The 18,546-nt window shown below is 43.1% G+C and overlaps 1 pseudogene, besides 3 other annotated features; it reads left to right on the top strand.

Moving 5' to 3' along the window:
- LOC100419707 (zinc finger protein 41 pseudogene) lies at window positions 8,012–9,421 on the top strand (annotated as a pseudogene).
- Window positions 15,571–16,245: an enhancer, noted in NCBI's record as "NANOG-H3K27ac hESC enhancer chr19:52411096-52411770 (GRCh37/hg19 assembly coordinates)". NCBI's record gives its function as "activates a minimal SCP1, AML or CMV promoter by ChIP-STARR-seq in primed H9 embryonic stem cells {active_cell/tissue: H9 hESC(primed)}" and the evidence as "EXISTENCE:reporter gene assay evidence [ECO:0000049][PMID:30033119]".
- Window positions 16,246–16,921: an enhancer, noted in NCBI's record as "OCT4-NANOG-H3K27ac hESC enhancer chr19:52410420-52411095 (GRCh37/hg19 assembly coordinates)". NCBI's record gives its function as "activates a minimal SCP1, AML or CMV promoter by ChIP-STARR-seq in naive H9 embryonic stem cells {active_cell/tissue: H9 hESC(naive)}" and the evidence as "EXISTENCE:reporter gene assay evidence [ECO:0000049][PMID:30033119]".
- Window positions 17,805–18,429: an enhancer, noted in NCBI's record as "OCT4-NANOG-H3K27ac hESC enhancer chr19:52408912-52409536 (GRCh37/hg19 assembly coordinates)". NCBI's record gives its function as "activates a minimal SCP1, AML or CMV promoter by ChIP-STARR-seq in primed H9 embryonic stem cells {active_cell/tissue: H9 hESC(primed)}" and the evidence as "EXISTENCE:reporter gene assay evidence [ECO:0000049][PMID:30033119]".

Here is an 18,546-nt window from a genome sequence, read left to right as displayed (position 1 = left end):
CAACAGTGTTAAAGTGCTCCTATTTCTCCACATCCTCTCCAGCATCTGTTGTTTCCTGACTTTTTGATGATTGCCATTCTAACTGGCATGAGATGGTATCTCATTGTGGTTTTGATTTGCATTTCTCTAATGACCAGTGATGATAAGCTTTTTTTCATATGTTTGTTGGCAGCTCCATTATAATCTTAAGGGACCACCATTGTGTGTGCAACCCATCATGGACTAAAATGTTGTTATGACTGTTTCCCTATTCCAAGTAATCTGTTGCTATATAGCAAGCCAGCCCAAGACCTAGAGATGTGAATTTACTTTTATGATCTGCATGGATTCACTGAGTCAGGAAGTGAGACATGGTGATGGCTTGTATGTTCTGGGGATCGCAAGATCTGGGGTTCCTCAGGTTCAATAATTTGTTAGAATAACACAGAGCTCAGCAAAACTGTCATATTCATGATTTTATTTTATTACATAGACTGGATACAGTTAAAATCAGAAACAGAGAAAGGTGTGTAGGGCAGGGTTTGGGAGATGCTGTGCAGAAGCTTTGAGTTTTCCTCTCTCTGTGGAGTCATATGGACAATGTTTGATTGTCCTAGCCATGATGTGTGACGACAGGCATGATGTATTGCCAGTACAGGAAGCCCACTTGAGCCTGGGTGTCCAGGGTTTTTATTTGGCTTTAGTTATATGGGTGAGGCTGAGCACATGAGTGGCTGACCTTATTCTTCAGCCCTTTCAGAGGCCACCATAACTACAGTGTGGCCCAAGGCTTCCATCATACATTGTTAGCATAGACGATCTTGTGTGACCCAAGGCTCCCAGTAAACAAAGACCCTCATCGGACAATATATTCCAACGGCTTAGAGTAGGAGTGTGCAGTCTTTTGGCTTCCCTGGGCCACACTGGAAGAAGAATTGTCTTGGGCCACACATAAAATATACTAACACTAACAATAGCTGATGAGCTTAAAGAAAAAAGAAAAAAAACTCAAAAAATCTCATAATGTTTTAAGAAAGTTTACAAATTTGTTTTGCATTCAAAGCCCTCCTGGAGGCCAGGCACAGTGGCTTATGCCTGTAATCCCAGCACTTTGGGAGGCTGAAGTGGGCAGATCACTTGAGGTCAGTAGTTCCAGACCAGGCTTGCCAATATGGTGAAACCCCGTCTCTACTAAAAATACAAAAAACTATCTGGGCATGGTGGCACATGCCTGTAATCTCAGCTACTTGGGAGGCTGAAGTAGGAGAATTGCTCGAATGTGGGAGAATCGCTTGAACTTGAGAGTTGGAGGTTGCAGTGAGCTGAGATTGTGCCCCTGCACTCCAGCCTGGGCAACAGAGTGAAACTCCATCTCAAACAACAAAAACAACAACAACAACAACAAAACAAAGCCCTCCTGGGCTGTGTGCACCACCACCAACAACAACAAAACAAAGCCCTCCTGGGCCATGTGCACCCCATGGTCCGCAGGTTGGACAAGCTTGGTTTAGAAGTTACCTGCCAGGTATAGGGAAGGGCTGAGCCTTTCTTTGGAATGTTCAGTTTCTGGGTAACCCAGACTCGCTCTGTTTATCCTTTACTGCACAGCTTGTCTTCACACCATGATGTCTTGAATCTCAACTGGAAGACTCAGAAGGTTGGGGACTGGAATCATCTGAAGGCTTCTTCCTCTCTGTATCTGTGTGCCAGGCTGGGATTACTTGAAAACTAGGCTCAAGGAGGCTGCCAGCCAGAGCACCTGTGTGTGACCTCCACATGTGACATGGATGGGCTTCTCACAGCATGATGCTGGCTCTGAGACAGCCAAGATGCGGCCACAGGGCCTTTTCTGCCTTAGCCTCAGAAGTTATGTTGTGTCACCTCTGTTGCATTCTGCAGCTAGCTCAGTCGGTAGAGCATGAGACTCTTAATCTCAGGGTCATGGGTTCGTGCCCCATGTTGGGTGCCAGATGAAGGAGGCCTGCCCCTCCACACCTGTGGGTATTTCTCACAAGGTGGAGACGAGAGACTGAGAAAAGAAATAAGACACAGAGACAAACTATCGAGGAAGAAAAGTGGGCCCAGGGAACCGGCACTCAACATACGGAGGACCCGCACCAACACTGGTCTCTGAGTTCCCTCAGTATTTATTGATTACTATCTCTACTATCTCGGTGAGGGGGATGTGGGAGGACTATAGGGTAATGGTGGGAAGAGGGTCAGCAGGAAAACGTGAGCAAAGGACTCTGTGTTATAAATAAGTTTAAGGAAAGGTGCTGTGCCTTGATATGCACATAGGCCAGATTTATCTTTGACTTTACACAAACATCTCAGTGAAGTAAAGACAGTATTGCCCCCACCATGTCTCACCTCCAGCCATAAGGCAGTTTTCTCCTATCTCAGTAAATAGAATGTACGATCGGGTTTTACACTGACACATTCCATTCCCAGGGATGAGCAGGAGAGAGATACCTTCCTCTTATCTCAACTGCAAAGAGGTCTTCCTCTTTCACTAATCCTCCTCAGCACAGACCCTTTATGGGTGTCAGGCTGGGGGACAGTCTGGTCTTTCTCTTTCCATGAGGCCATATCTCAGGCTGTCTCAGTGGAGAGAAACCTTGGACAATACACAGGCTTTCTTGGGCAGAGATCCCTGTGGCTTTCTGCAGTGCATTGTGTCCCTGGGTACTCGAGACTGGAGAATGGCCATGACTTTTACCAAGCATACTGCCTGCAAACACATTTTTACCAAGGCACATCCTGCACAGCCCTAAGTCCATTAAACCTTGAGTCAATACAATACATGTTTCTGCAAGCATAGGGTTGGGGCTAGGGTTACAGATTAACAGCATCTCAAGGCAGAATAATTTCTCTTAGTACAGATCAAAATGGAGTTTCTTTTGTCTTCCTTTTTCTACATAGATGCAGTAATAGTCTGATCTCTCATTCTTTCCCCCATGCTTTTCTGCCTTAGCCTCGGAAGTTATGTTGTGTCACCTCTGTTGTATTCTGCAGGTACAAGCAAATCACCAAGACTAGCTAGGTTCAAGGGGGAAGGGAATAGGCTCCATCTCTTCGTGTGGGAGTGGCAAGATTTAGCAGAAGGTTTTCTTTGGAATGTGAGATATTATTGTGGTCATCTTTGGGAAATGCAGTCTACCACATGGACACAATAACAAATCGTTTCCTTTTCCCTGAGGAGAAAGCTCCTCTAGAAAAGTGAATATTTCATGTTACTTAAGAAGAAATTTCTTTGATGGGTCATGATATAGATCATATAGAAGTTAGTGCCCCCACAGATAAGCCAGTGGTGTAATACCAAAACCAAACTCAGTGATCAGAGTGCTTCAGGGACCCAGAACAGTGTAGCCAAAGTCCACAGCCTCCTGGGGGTCTGTTTTTATTCAGGGATAAAATGTAGAGATTTTTAAGATGGATGGATTCTATGACCATCATATGGTCTTCCACAAAGAGTCCTCAATATTCTGCTTTTTTTTTTATCAGTGGTTTTCATTTTTTGACCCCAGGTGACATTTGGCAATGTCTGGAGAAATTTTTGATTGTCACACCTGGGAAAGGAGGGTGTGCTAATTGGAGCTAGTGGATAGAGGCTAAGAATGCTGCTAAGCATCCTACAATGACACTACAGTGCCCCAAAATAAAGAATTCTCCAAACCAAAATGTCAATGCCTGTTACAGTCTGTTCCTATGGGATTGAACGAAATGGGACAAATGCAGAAGTGAAGACAAAGACAAAAAGATACATTTTAAAAGAAGGGGTCAGGGGACTCCTTGCTTCTAGTGAGCAAAGACAGCCCTCAGCTTCTACAGCCCTTCATATGTATTAGGTAGAATCAATAGGGAGAGAGAGGTAACGGTTGGTCAGCTGCTTTGATTCATTAGAGGTACACATAATTACTTTCTTTATACAACAGGCTTCAGATGTTCCTATAGATAACCACTGTGGAGCACTCGATTCTGTCACTGTTTGGGGGGGGCCACTATGTAACCTGCCACAATCCCTGGTGGGCTGAACAAAGTGGGGCAAATGCGGGAATAAAAGACGAGACAAAAGAGTATATTTGGAAGAAGGGGTCAAGGAGCACCTTGCCTCTAGTGGACAAAGGCTCTGAGCTTTACACAGCCCTTTGTATTTATTAGGCAAAAGGGATAGTGAGAAGGGGTGTGGAAGAAGGGGTCAGTTGGTTGGTCCAGAGTAGGCTTGCAAGATTGCATTCCTCAAACAACAGGCTCTAGATGTCCCAGCAGATAACCTCAGCGCCAGGGAATGATAGCCGCCAGCAAACTTTCTGTCAGCAGGCACAGTCGTGAGTTTGCCCATATCCTGCATTTGTGATAAACAGTTTGCTGTTTGATCATGTAGCTTCCAGTGGAATGCTGAGCTGATCATGTCCCATGGGCCTTTGGCTCCCTACAAACCACAAGGAACACTCTGCCTGGGGTGTGACTGCTCTTGGCACTCCTTCTGGTGGCAGATGCAATTTGTCAGTTTTCCAACATCCTGCTTTCATGAGAACAGTTTTCTGTTTGCTCATATAGCCTCCAGTGGTATACTGGGTTGGTCACAACCCCCATTTTCTCGGCCTCCAACAAATGCAGATTGAGCATCCCCTATCAGAAATGCTTGGGACTGGAAGTGTTTCAGATTTTAGATTTTTTTTTTTTTCAGAATGCTTGCTTACTTACTTACTTATACTTACTAGTTGAGCATCCCTAATCTGAAAATCCAACATTTGAAATGTCCTGGTAAGCATTTCCTTCAAGCATGACCTTTGTGCATCACCTCAGCCCTAAAAAGAATTTCAGATTTTGGAGCATTATAGGTTTCAGAATTTTGAAGCAGGGATGCTCAACCTGTAGTGCTGAGGTAGAGAAACTCCTATTTACATTGATTAGTAAACAGTTCCAAGTTATGTTGACAGAGTCTTAGAGTTTCCCTTCATAATCTCTTCACACCCAAGAATGCAGTGTTAGCTCTCTGTTCAAAGCCAATACTTATCTACTTATTTTTTTAAAATTCCAGTTATATAAATGAAGCTTAAAATATTCACAATGTGAGCTGGGCGATGGTGGCTCACACTTGTAATCCCAGCACTTTAGGAGGCTGAGGTGGGAAGATCACTTGAGCCCAGGAATTTGAGACCAGCCTGGGCAACATAGTAAGACCCTGTCTCTACAAAAAAATACAAAAGTTAGCTGAGCACGGTGGCACACACCTGTAGTTCCAGCTACTCAGGAGGCTGAGGTGGGAGGATTGCTTGAGCCTAGGAGGTCAAGGCTGCAGTGAGCTGTGATCATGCCACTGCCTTCCAGCCTGGGTAACAGAGCAATACCCTGTCTCTAAACAAAATCATCATCATTATAATACTTCTCCAACTTGAATGAATTAAAAAAAAATTTGCAGTGTCAAACTTTCAAACAATATAGAATTTTATAGTGCAAAACCTGAAAGTTCCCTCTTAATCCTTTTTCACCATCTTTAAAATAATCAATCTTGAAACATTTTTGTGTATTCTTATGGTTTCCTGTATCAGCATTGACATATCTAAATGTGAATTTGAGTGAATTTTAGTTGAGTGTCCCTTGCCCACCCTCAGGCTCAATGATTCTCTAGAACAGGGCTTCCCAACCCCTGCCACTGGTCTGTGGCCTGTTAGGAAGTGGACCAGGTCAGTGAGCAAGCTTTATCTGTATTTACAGCCACTCCCTATCATACACATAACTGCCTGAGCTCCCCTTCCTGTCAGATGAGAGGCAGCATTAGATTCTTCTAGGAGTGAAAATCCTGTTATGAACTGCACATGCGAGGGATCTAGGTTGCACACTCCTTATGAGACTCTGATGTCTGATGATCTGTCACTGTCTCCCATCACCCCCAGCTGGAACCATCTAGTTTCAGGAAAACAAGCTCAGGACTACCACTGATTCTACATTATGGTGAGTTGTATAATTATTTCATTATATATTACAATGTAATAATAATAGAAATAAAGTACACAATTAATGTAATGCACTTGAATCATTCCAAAACCATCCCCTTGCCCCAGTATGTGGAAAAATTGTCTTCCACAAAACGAGTCCCTGGTGCCGAAAAAGTTGGGGACTGCTGTTGCAGATTAAATATTTTATTAAAGGATGTAAGGAGGTTCTGTTTCTCTTTTGTGAATGAATAATTAAATATGTGAATCAGTGAATGAATGGAAGTACCGAAATAGGATATTTTAACTAAAACATTTTTCCTATATATTATAAGGCAAAACTAGTTACATGGAAGGCAGCCAAATAACTTACTCTGGGAAAATGTATTATAAGAAATTATCATTTATGTTCATAGCATTACACAATGGTAATCCTTTAGAATTGAGTAGGAATGTTCTATTACAGGGCTCACTGTCATTCAAGGATGTAGCTGTGGGTTTCACCTGGGAAGAATGGCAGCTACTGGACCCTGTTCAGAAGAATCTGTACCAAGACGTGATGTTGGAAAATTATAGCAACCTGGTATCACTGGGTAAGCACAGTTTTCCTGGGTAGTGTAGGCAATCAATTGCCCTTCCTTTCTGAGTAATTAAAAAGCGTGGGGCCTCACAAATACTTTACTTTTTTTAGACTTCAGTTTAATACATCATAGATTTTTAGTACTTTTCTGGCCTCTAACAGAGTGTTTTTCTCTCATTTCCAATGGACGTTAAGGCCTTTACTTGGCCCAGATGCAAATTATTTAACCCCTTAAATGTAATCTTCGGCCAGGCATGGTGGCTCATGCCTATAATCCCAGCACTTTGGGAGGCCAAGAGGGGTGGATCATGAGGTTAAGAGATTGAGACCATCCTGGCCAACATGGTGAAACCCCGTCTGTACTAAAAATACAAATATTAGCTGGGTGTGGTGGCGCACACCTGTAGTCCCAGCTACTTGGGAGGCTGAGGCAGGAGAATCACTTGAACCCGGGAGGTAGAGGTTGCAGTGAGCTAAGATCACACCACTTCACTCCAGCCTGGTGACAGAGTGAGACTCCATCTCAAAAAAAAAAAAAAAAGTAATCTTCATCATTTTTCAGAAGTCTTGTAGCCCTAGTATTTGCATTCATGTGTCCTTTATAATTTTCCTTGATACTTTTCTAGGGTATCAAGTTACCAAAGCAGACACATTATTCTGGTTGGAGCAAGGAAAACCATGGATACTAGAGGAAGAAATCCAGAGTCAGGTTTGTCCAGGTAAGTGAAAAACCAGTCCTATAGGAGAACTTAAAGTAATATCCCAGTTGAACAGAAGTAGGGGGGCATCTCTGAAATGCTGTTTGGAGAAATGTTTTTGAAGTTCTTAAAGTTGTGAATGTGACTAAGAACAGCTGACATAAGCTCCTCACATACCTTAATACTGCCTCCACTTTTTAGTTGCTCCATATTAGAACTCTTTTGCTTGGCTTTTAAAAGAATCCATGTTCTTCTTTTAGGTACTCTGATCAAATCCCTCTCTGGCTCATCTCAGAACTTGCTTTCCTGGTTAATCTTTCTCCCTGGCATCTTTAGTTTACTTGCTTTTCCCTGTCTTCATCCCCCTAATTCATAGTCATAGCCCTATTTTCAAGTATTCCTAAATTTTCCTCCCTTATCTTCATTTTGTATGTGTTTCATACCTCTCATAGTTTCTTCTGTTTTTTCTTCTTCCATTTATAAATATCTCAGACTTTCATTCTCTACCCACAGTTTCACTTCCTCTTCTCTCCTTGGCTCTTGCTGTGAGCTTCTACTCCTTTTATTACATGATCACAGTGGATTAATTGGTCTCCTTTCTAGAAGATGCCTGGCAAGTCAATGATCACACAGAATGGCACCGAGAAAACCAAAGCAGCCTTGAAACTATGGACAGACACCACAAATATCATATATTTGGCAACATAACATCTCATCTGAGCTCAAACCTTCATACCCCTTTTGTACTTGGGAAACACCTGAATCCTAATCTAGAGTACTTTATTCAAAACAGAAGCTATGCAAGAAATGAAGGTGAATGTAATGGATATGACAAAGTTTTTCTTTATCCTAAGCATGAGAAAATTCATGCTGAAGAGAAATACAATGAATATAATGAACGTGTAAAGGCTTTCAGTCATAAGTCACAGCTCATAAAACACTGGAAAACTCAAAAACGAGAGAAACAGTATGACTGCAGTGACTGTGGGAAAGCCTTTTCCCAGAAGTTGGACCTCTTTAAGCATCAAAGAACACAAAGAGGAGAGAAGCCCTATGGATGCAGTAGATGTCAGACAGCCTTCAGATGGAAGTCCTGTCTCATTTTACACGAGAGAACCCATACAGAAGAGAAACCTTATGAGTGCAATAAATGTGGGAAAGCTTTTACTGATAAGTCATGCCTTAATAAACATCAACGAACTCACACAGGAGAGAAATGCTTTGAGTGTCATACATGTCAAAAAGGTTTTAGTGATAAGTCAAAACTCACTTTCCATCAAAGAACTCATACTGGAGAGAAACCCTATGGATGCAGCAAATGTCAGAAAAGCTTCAGCAATAAGTCACAGCTCATGATCCATCAGAGAGCTCACACAGAAGAGAAACCCTATGGTTGTGATGAGTGTGGGAAAACATTCCCCCTTAAGTTTAACCTCATTTTACATCAAAAAATCCATACCGGGGAAAAATCGCATGGGTGTAATGAATGTGGGAAAGCCTTCATCCAGAGATCTGAGCTCAGTAGACATCAGAGAACTCACACAGGAGAGAAACCGTATCACTGCAGTGAATGTGGAAAAGGCTTTAGTGTAAAGTCATTCCTCAATACTCACTGGAGAACTCATATGGGAGAGAAACCCTATGGATGCAACGAATGTGGGAAAATGTTCTCCATCAAGTTTAGTCTCATCCTACACCAAAGAACTCATACAGGGGAAAAACCCTATGAATGCAGTCAGTGTCAGAAGACTTTCAGCCAAAAGTCACACCTGAATATTCATCAGCGGTCTCACACTGGAGAGAAACCTTAGGAATGTGGAGAATGTCACAAAGCCTTCAGCCGGAAGTCCTATCTCCTGATCCATCAGAGAATTCACTCAGGAGAGAAGCCTTACGAATGCCTTGAGTGCGGGAAGACTTTCTCTCGTAAGTTTAGTCTCACTACTCATCAGAGAATCCATACAGGAGAGAAATCCTATGGATGCAGTGAATGTGGGAAAACTTTCCCCGTCAAGTTTAGCTTGGTTTGACATCAGAAAACACATACAGGAGAGAAACTCCACGAATGCAGCAAATGTCAGAAATCTTTTGCCCAGAAGTCACATCTTATTATACATCAAAGAACGCATATAGGTGAGAAACCTTACGAATGCACTGAGTGTTGGAAAACCTTCTTCCGCAAATTCAGCCTCATTCTACATCAGAAAACACACAAAGGAGAGAAATCATAAATGAAGTGAATATCTGAAAGTTGGCAGTGAGAAGGACTAGCTCATTATACCACAAGGTTAATGTAAGAGTGAAACCTCAAGGCTGCAGCAAATGTGAACAAACCTTAATTTCAAGCTTACACATCCTTTCTTATCAGAGAATAGTGCTGGGCATGATGCCAGTCAGGAGGTAATACCTGTTTCAATAAATGTCAATTGAATATAAGCCAGAGGGAACACACAGGAAGGAACATCTATGTATTACTGATTATGGGGATGTTGTTGGCATAATATGCAGTTACATCAGTTTCAGATAATTGACACTAAGGAAGAAATTCTGTACTTTAGGTGAGGTGCAGTGGCTCACACCTGTAATCTCAGCACTTTGGGAGGCCAAATTGGAAGGATCGTTTGAGCTTAGGAGTTCGAGACCAGTGTTTTCAACATAGGGTTCCATCTCTACAAAAAAATACAAAAATTAGCTGGAGATAGTGCTACTCAGGAGGCTGAGGCAGAGAATTACTTGAGCCAAGAGGTGGAGGTTTCAGTGAGCCAAGATTTTGCCAGCCTGGGTGACAGCCTGTCTAAAAAAAAAAAATAAATAAATAAATAAGGAAAAGAAAAAAGAAATTTGTAATTTTGTATGTTAATGAATCTGGGAAATCATGCTTTCATCTGTATTTTTTTTCTGCTCTTGTTATATAATCAGCATTATAGAAAGTATTGTATTAAATATGTAAATAAATATGCTTGTCAGAAAACAAAGCAAAAAATATAAGAACAATACCAAATATTTAAGTGTTTTTGCCTATTTTTATTGTAAAAATGATTGCTCATATTTGGGAACTGCATGTGTTAACATCACAATTGTGAATTTGTAGTATGTATGATTAAATGTGCATAAAGACTTCCCATAGAATATCTGCATTGAATCTTTGTATAATGCTACGTAACTTATAATTGATCTGTGCCACGGACCCTACTGGACTGAACAAAGGAGGATGAATGTGGGAATAAAGACAAACACAAAAGAATATGTTTGGAAGAAGGGGTCGGGGGCTTCTTGCTTCTAGTGAACAAGGCCCCTGAGCTTCTATAGCACTTCATATTTATTGAGTAAAGAAAACAAGGAGCGGGGGTGGTTGTCGGTCAGCTGCTTGATTTAGTGCAGGCCTGCATGACTGCATTCTTTGAACAGTAGGCTCCAGATGTCCCAGTAGATAACCTCAAGGAGCATGGTGCCAGGCAGTGATTGCCCTCAGCATACTTTCTGGTGGCAGGTGCAGATACGAGTTTGCCCACATTCTGCATTCATGATAAACAGTTTGCTGTTTGATCATATAGCCTGCAGTGGAATGCTGAATTGGTCACGACCCTCAGGCTTTCGACTCCCCACAGAACTGCTGTGGTTCATTGTTTCAGTAAAAAACTCAATACAATACTGTTTATCTTTATCTCTGTAGTGTTTGCTAGTATTTGTAAATGGGTCTGGAAGATGTTGTGCCACTCTTGGGTAAAACTTTATCTCATCAATTCTAAGATAGACATTTTTCCAACATATTACCACTGCTAAAATTTAAGTGTGGCATACTTATTTATATATGTGGCTTAACATATTTAAATGGAGAACTTGGTGTGTAAAAGTGTGGTGTGCCATACAACCAAAGGTATCTCAGATTGGATGAAATATAGTAGAAGCCGTCATCTTTATACAGGGTTTTGTTTCTTGTAAACCAACGAAATACTTGGGGATTGAGGAAGATGAGTCTTCACAGGTTTTATGCCGCTTCTGAATTCTAAATAGTTTGAGAGATAGTCCCTGATATCAGAGAGATGGAAATTAAATAATTTTTGCAGTCCTGGTTTTATTGCATGAATAGATAATGTGGCTTGATCCTATAGTCAAATAAAATAAGCCTCTCTTTCCTTCATAGCCACAAGGTGTGCAAGATGTGTTTCCCTTTGAAACAACATAAGCCAAATGTGAGACATGTTTTTATTAATCCCTCTCTAGAATGTAGCAGCAAAGTCCCCTAAACGGTTTTCTTAAATTGAGAATAAATTATAAAATACACTGAACTTGATATTAATTTTACAAAAATATGTTTCCTTTTCAAGTACAATGTTTTTCCCTAAAATAGGTGACTGCAATTATAGCAGTTACTCAGGGTAAGATGTTGAACAGTCTCACATGACTCCACAAGTTATACTTACCTAAGACTCCAAGAAAGACAAAGGCTACAGTACAGCATGAAAAATAAAATCCAATGAAATAAAATACATGTAAATATGATGATGTTCTGAGACACACAGGCACAGATTCCAGGGATCTTTTTCAGTCACACAGGATACTATTTGTCTCCAGATCACCAACTACCAAATATAGGTGAGGTACCTGTTTCAGGGGAACCAAGGCACAAGATTGCTGAGAAGTCTTTTATATACACAAGTTGCAGCCAAAATCAGGCTTTTAAAACAGAGTTAGATCATCCACCTATTTTCAAAAGACAGGCCAGGTGCAGTGGCTCACACCTGTAATCCCAGCACTCTTGGAGGCCGAGGCGAGTGGATCACTTGTGGTCAGGAGTTCGAGACCAGCCTGGCCAACATGGTGAAACCCTGTCTTTAATAAAAATACAAAAATTAGCAGGATGTGGTGATGCACACCTGTAATCCCAGCTACTTGGGAGGCTGAGGCAGGAAAATCACTTGAACCCAGGAGGCAGAGGTTGCAGTGAGCTGACATCGCACCACTACACTCCAGCCTAGGTGACAGCAAGACTGTCTCAAAAAAAAAAAAAAAAAAAAAGATATTGTAGGTAAGCTGGTATATGCATCTTAAGGGGAGTTTTGGGATTTTTTTTTCTTTTCTTTGAGTTGGAGTCTCACTTTGTTGCCCACGCTGGAGTGCAGTGGTGCAGTCTCCACTCACTGCAACCTCTGTCTCCCAGGTTCAAGCAATTCTCCTGCCTCAGCCTCCCAAGTAGCTGGGATTACAGGTGCCACTTCATATCCTACACAAATCAATGTTTCGTGTATTAGACTATAAAAGTCAGCAGACTATTTTGGTGCAAGACCAGATAGTAAGTATTCAGGCTTTGCAGGCTACATATGATCTCTGTTGTATATTCTATTTATTTTACTCTTTAAAAGTATTAAAAGCCAATCTTAGCTCAAGGGCAAAGCAGGCTGTGGACTGGATATGGCTCATGAGCAGCAGTTTGCTAACCCCTGGAACCCTGAATTGAACAGCAAAACTCTAAAAGTGTTAGAAGGAAATATAAGATAATATTTTTATGATCTTGATGTGGGGAAGGATTTCTCTAAAAAGATTTAGCATAAACTATAGTAGAAAATATTAAGGCCAAGCATAGTGGGTCACGAGATTGCAGTGAGCCAAGATCGTCCCATTGCACTCCAGGCAACAAGGTGAGACTCCCCATCTCAGGGGGGAAAAAAAGAGAGAAAATGGGGAGTTGTCTGTTTTGAGTTCGCAACATGTACAGAGCACTCTTGACATAACTAACTCCATTTTGCAAAAAGACTTCATCTTACATTTCAAAAGAATTCAGGGGTCCCACAGTGATGTTAGATAGCAACTTTTTTTTTTTTGAGATGGAGTCTTACTCTGTCTTCCAGGCTAGAGTGCAGTGGCGCGATCTCAGCTCACTGCAACCTCCGCCTCCCAGGTTCAAGTGATTCTCCTGCCTCAGCCTCCTGCGTAGCTGGGACTACAGGCACGCGCCACCATGCCCAGCTAATTTTTGTATTTTTTAAAAATATACTTTAAGTTCTAGGGCACACGTTCATAACGTGCAGGTTCGTTACATAGGTATACATGTGCCATGTTGGTTTGCTGCACCCATGAGCTCGTCATTTACATTAGGTATTTCTCCCAATGCTATCCCTCCCCTAGTCCCCCACCCCCGACAGGCCCCAATGTGTGATGTTCCCCTCCCTGTGTCCGTGTGTTCTCATTGTTCAACTCCCACTTATGAGTGAGAACATGCGGTGTTTGGTTTTCTATCCTTGTGATACTTTGCTGAGAATGATGGTCTCCAGTCTAATTTTTGTATTTTTAGTAGAGATGGTGATTCACCATATTGGCCAGGCTGGTCTCAAACTCCTGACCTCGTGATCCGCCTGCCTCAGCCTCCCAAATTGTTGGGATTACAGGCATGAACCACTGCACCCAGCCTTTGATAGCAACTTTTATTGAAGTGGCAGTGCACAGCAGCAGCAGAGGTACTACTCCTTGTGGAGCAGTATGCCCAGAGTAGCAGCTCAGAGGCAGCCCTTCAGTCATATTTCTACCCACTTTTAATTATATGCAAAGTAAGGGGTGGATTATGCATAAATTTCTAGAAAAAGGTGGTAACTTTCAGGTCATCAGCTTGTTGTCATGGAAAGCAGCAATAACTCCCAGGTGTTACCATGGAAATGGTAAACGTGACATGGCATACTGGTGGGTAAGTCTTATGAAAAGCTGCTTCTGCCCTGTTGCTGTTTTAGCTAGTCCTTAATTTTGTCTGGTGTTGGAGCCTGGTCTCTTGAGTCAAGTCCCACCTCCTACCTTGATAGTGGCTTTGGTATCCAGTTTTTTCATAGAACACAATTTCAAGTTTCTACGCTTGGTGTTTTCCAAACAGCCTGAAGCAAAAAACAATCTTTAATATGAGTATACATATTGATCCTCACAACTGAAGGGGGCCAGCCCCTCCACACCTGTGGGTGTTTCTCGTCAGGTGGGATGAGAGACTGAGAAAAGAAATAAGACACAGAGACAAAGTATAGAGAAAGAACAGTGGGCCCAGGGGACCGGCGCTCAGCATACGGAGGACCCACGCCGGCACTGGTCTCTGAGTTCCCTCAGTATTTATTGATCACTATTTCTACCATCTCGATGAGGGGGATGTGGCAGGACAATAGGGTAATGGTGGGGAGAGGGTCAGCAGGAAAACAAGTGAGCAAAGATCTCTGTGATAAATAAGTTTAAGGAAAGGTGCTGTGCCTCGATGCGCACATAGGCCAGATTTATGTCTGACTTTTCACAAAAATTTTAGTGCAGTAAAGAGCAGTATTGCCGCCAGTATGTCTCACCTCCAGCCATAAGGCAGTTTTCTCCTATCTCAGTAAATAGAACGAACGTTCGGGTTTTACACCGAGACATTCCATTCCCAGGGACAAACAGGAGACAGGTGCCTTCCTCTTATCTCAACGGCAAAGAGGCCTCCCTCTTTCACTAATCCTCCTCAGCACAGACCCTTTACGGGTGTTGGGCTGGGGGACAGTCAGGTCTTTCCCTTCCCATGAGGACATATCTCAGGCTATCACATGGGGAGAAACCTTGGACAATACCTGGCTTTCCTGGGCAGAGGTCCCTGCAGCCTTCTGCAGTGCATTGAGTCCCTGAGTACTCGAGATTAGAGAATGGCTATGACTTTTACCAAACATACTGCCTTCAAGCACTTTTTTAACAAACCACATCCTGCACAGCCCTAAATCCATTAAACCTTAAGTCAACTGTGGGGAAAAGCAAGAGAGATCAGATTGTTACTGTGTCTGTGTAGAAAGAAGTAGACATAGGAGACTCCATTTTGTTCTGTACTAAGAAAAATTCTTCTGCCATGAGATTCTGTTAATCTATGACCTTACCGCCAACCCCATGCTCTCGGAAACATGTGCTGTGTCAACTCAGGGTTAAATGGATTAAGGGCGGTGCAAGATGTGCTTTGTTAAACAGATGCTTGAAGGCAGCATGCTCCTTAAGAGTCATCACCACTCCCTAATCTCAAGTACCCAGGGACACAAACACTGCGGAAGGCCGCAGGGACCTCTGCCTAGGAAAGCCAGGTATTGTCCAAGGTTTCTCCCCATGTGATAGTCTGAAATATGGCCTCGTGGGAAGGAAAAGACCTGACCGTCCCCCAGCCCGACACCCGTAAAGGGTCTGTGCTGAGGAGGATTAGTATAAGAGGAAGGCATGCCTCTTGCAGTTGAGACAAGAGGAAGGCATCTGCCTCCTGCCTGTCCCTGGGCAATGGAATGTCTTGGTATAAAACCCGATTGTACGTTCCATCTACTGAGATAGGGAAAAACCGCCTTAGGGCTGGAGGTGGGACATGCGGGCAGCAATACTGCTCTGTAAGGCATTGAGATGTTTATGTGTATGCATATCTAAAGCACAGCACTTGATTCTTTACTTTGTCTATGATGCAAAGACCTTTGTTCACGTGTTTGTCTGCTGACCCTCTCCCCACTATTGTCTTGTGACCCTGCCACATCCCCCTCTCGGAGAAACACCCATGAATGATCAATAAATACTAAGGGAACTCAGAGGCTGGCGGGATCCTCCATATGCTGAACGCTGGTTCCCCGGGTCCTCTAATTTCTTTCCCTATACTTTGTCTCTGTGTCTTTTCTTTTCCAAGACTCTTGTTCCACCTTACGAGAAACACCCACAGGTGAGGAGGGGCAACCCACCCCTTCATCAACACAGCACGTCTCTGTGGGCACAGGGTTGGGGCTCAGGTTACAGATTAACAGCATCTCAAGGCAGAAGAATTTCTCTTAGTACAGAACAAAATGGAGTTTCTTATGTCTACTTCTTTCTACATAGACACAGTAACAGTCTGATCTCTCTTTCTTTTCCCCAAACAACTTTTAAAGTCAGTAGCTGAGATGCAGGGACTTGTCATGAGCCTTGTCTACCCAAGCTAAGTGGCCTATTTTTTCCCCCTTTCTCAAGGCATATTCTCTGTTGTAGGGACACCTGAAATTCCTTTAAGATGGCCATGCTCAGTGGGCTGCCTCTTGACAGTTTCCTAGTAGTCAGTCAATAAAGGGTGCAGTCACCTCTCCGCAGCTCACTGAGGTGGACATACTTGGCACTGTGCTGGCCTTGTATCGGGGGACCTGCCCCAATAATCACGTAGGTTCTTTTCTATTTGCCTAAGCGTCGACTGGCTTGAGAAATAAAAGGACAGAGTACAAAAGAGAGAAATTTTAAAGCTGGGCCTCCGGGGGAGACATCACACATTGGTAGGATCTGTGATGCCCCACAAGCCACAAAAACCAGCAAGTTTTTATTAGGGAGTTTCAAAAGGGGAGGGAGGATACGAATAGGTGTGGGTGACAGACATCAAGTACTTAACAGGGTAATAGAATATCACAAGGCAAGTGGAGGCAGGGCGAGATCACAGGACCACAGGACCGAAGTGAAATTAAAATTGCTAATGAAGTTTTGGGCACCATTGTCATTGATAACATCTTATCAGGAGACAGGGTTTTGAGATCAACCGGTCTGACCAAAGTTTATTAGGCGGGAATTTCCTCTTCCTAACAAGCCTGGGAGCGCTATGGGAGACTGGAGTTTATTTCACCTCTGCAATCTCGACCATAAGAGACAGGTACGCCCGGGGGAGGCCAGTTCAGAGACCTACCCCTAGGTGCGCATTCTGTTTCTCAGGGACGTTCCATGCTGAGAAAAGGAATTCAGTGATATTTCTCCCATTTGCTTTTGAAAGAAGACAAATATGGCTCTGTTCCGCCCGGCTCACCGGCGGTCAGAGTTAAAGGTTCTCTCTCTTATTCCCTGAACAATTGCTGTTATCCTGTTCTTTTTTCAGGGTGCCCACATTTCATATTGCTCAAACACACATGCTGTACAATTTGTGTAGTTAACACAATTATTACAGGGTCCTGAGACGATATACATCCTTCTCGGCTGACAGGATTAAGAGATTAAAGCAAAGACAGGCATAGGAAATCACAAGGATATTGATTGGGGAAGTGATAAGTGTCCATGAAATCTTTACGATTTATGTTTACAGATTGCAGTAAAGACAGGCATAAGAAATTACAAAAGTATTAATTTGGGGAACTAATAAATGTCCATAAAATCTTCACAATCCATGTTTTTCTGCCATGGCTTCAGCCGGTCCCTCCGTTTGGGGTCCCTGACTTCCCGCAACAGCCTTGGTTGCATTTGAGCCTCTGAATATCTGTGTGGTTTGTGCAGTGAAGGGGTGGCCTGCCTCTCCACATCTGTGGGTGTTTCTCGTCAGGTGGGACGAGAGACTGAGAAAAGAAGAGATACAGAGACAAAGTATAGAGAAAGAAAAGTGGGTCCAGGGGACCGGTGCTCAGCATACAGAGGACCCGCGCCGGCACCGGTCTCTGAGTCCCTCAGTATTTATTGATCATTATCTCTACCATCTCGGAGAGGGGGATGTGGCAGGACAATAGGATAATAGTGGGGAGAGTGTCAGCAGGAAAACATGTGAACAAATGTCTCTGTGTCATAAACAAGCTTAAGAAGAAGGTGCTGTGCTTTGATATGCACATACATAAACGTCTCGGTGCATTAAAGAGCAGTATTGCCGCCAGCTTGTCTCACCTCCAGCCCTAAGGCGATTTTCTCCTATCTCAGTAGATGGAACATACAATCGGGTTTTATACCGAGACATTCCATTGCCCAGGGACGAGCAGGAGACAGATGCCTTCCTCTTGTCTCAACTGCAAGAGGCCTTCCTTCCTCTTATACTAATCCTCCTCAGCACAGACCCTTTACGGGTGTCGGGCTGAGGGATGGTCAGGTCTTTCCCTTCCCACGAGGCCATATTTCAGACTATCACATGGGGAGAAACCTTGGATAATACCTGGCTTTCTGGGGCAGAGGTCCCTGTGGCCTTCCGCAGTGTATTGTGTCCCTGGGTACTTGAGATTAGAGAGTGGTGATGACTTTTAACAAGCATACTGCCTTCAAGCATTTGTTTAACAAAGCACATCCTGCATAGCCCTAAATCCATTAAACCTTGAGTCAACACAGCACACGTCTCTGTGAGAACAGGGTTGGGGGTAGGGTTACAGATTAACAGCATCTCAAGGCAGAAGAATTTTTCTTAGTACGGAACAAAATGGAGTCTCTTATGTCTACTTCTTTCTACATAGACACAGTAACAGTCTGATCTCTCTTTCTTTTCCCCACAGTGCACTGTTGTTAGTGCTCCAACCTCACAGTGCAGGGGTTGAGGTGTCAGGAGAGGGAACACATCAGTGCCATTTCACTGTCTCCTGTGTCAAAGCAAAATTAAAATGCAGACCAGAATTCAAAAACTCCTGAGCAAACAAAACCCAGT

This window comes from Homo sapiens, chromosome 19, assembly GCF_000001405.40.
Source record: "Homo sapiens chromosome 19, GRCh38.p14 Primary Assembly".
In the NCBI taxonomy this organism is placed as follows: Eukaryota; Metazoa; Chordata; class Mammalia; order Primates; family Hominidae; genus Homo; species Homo sapiens.
This window is presented reverse-complemented; position numbering and strand designations above follow the sequence as displayed.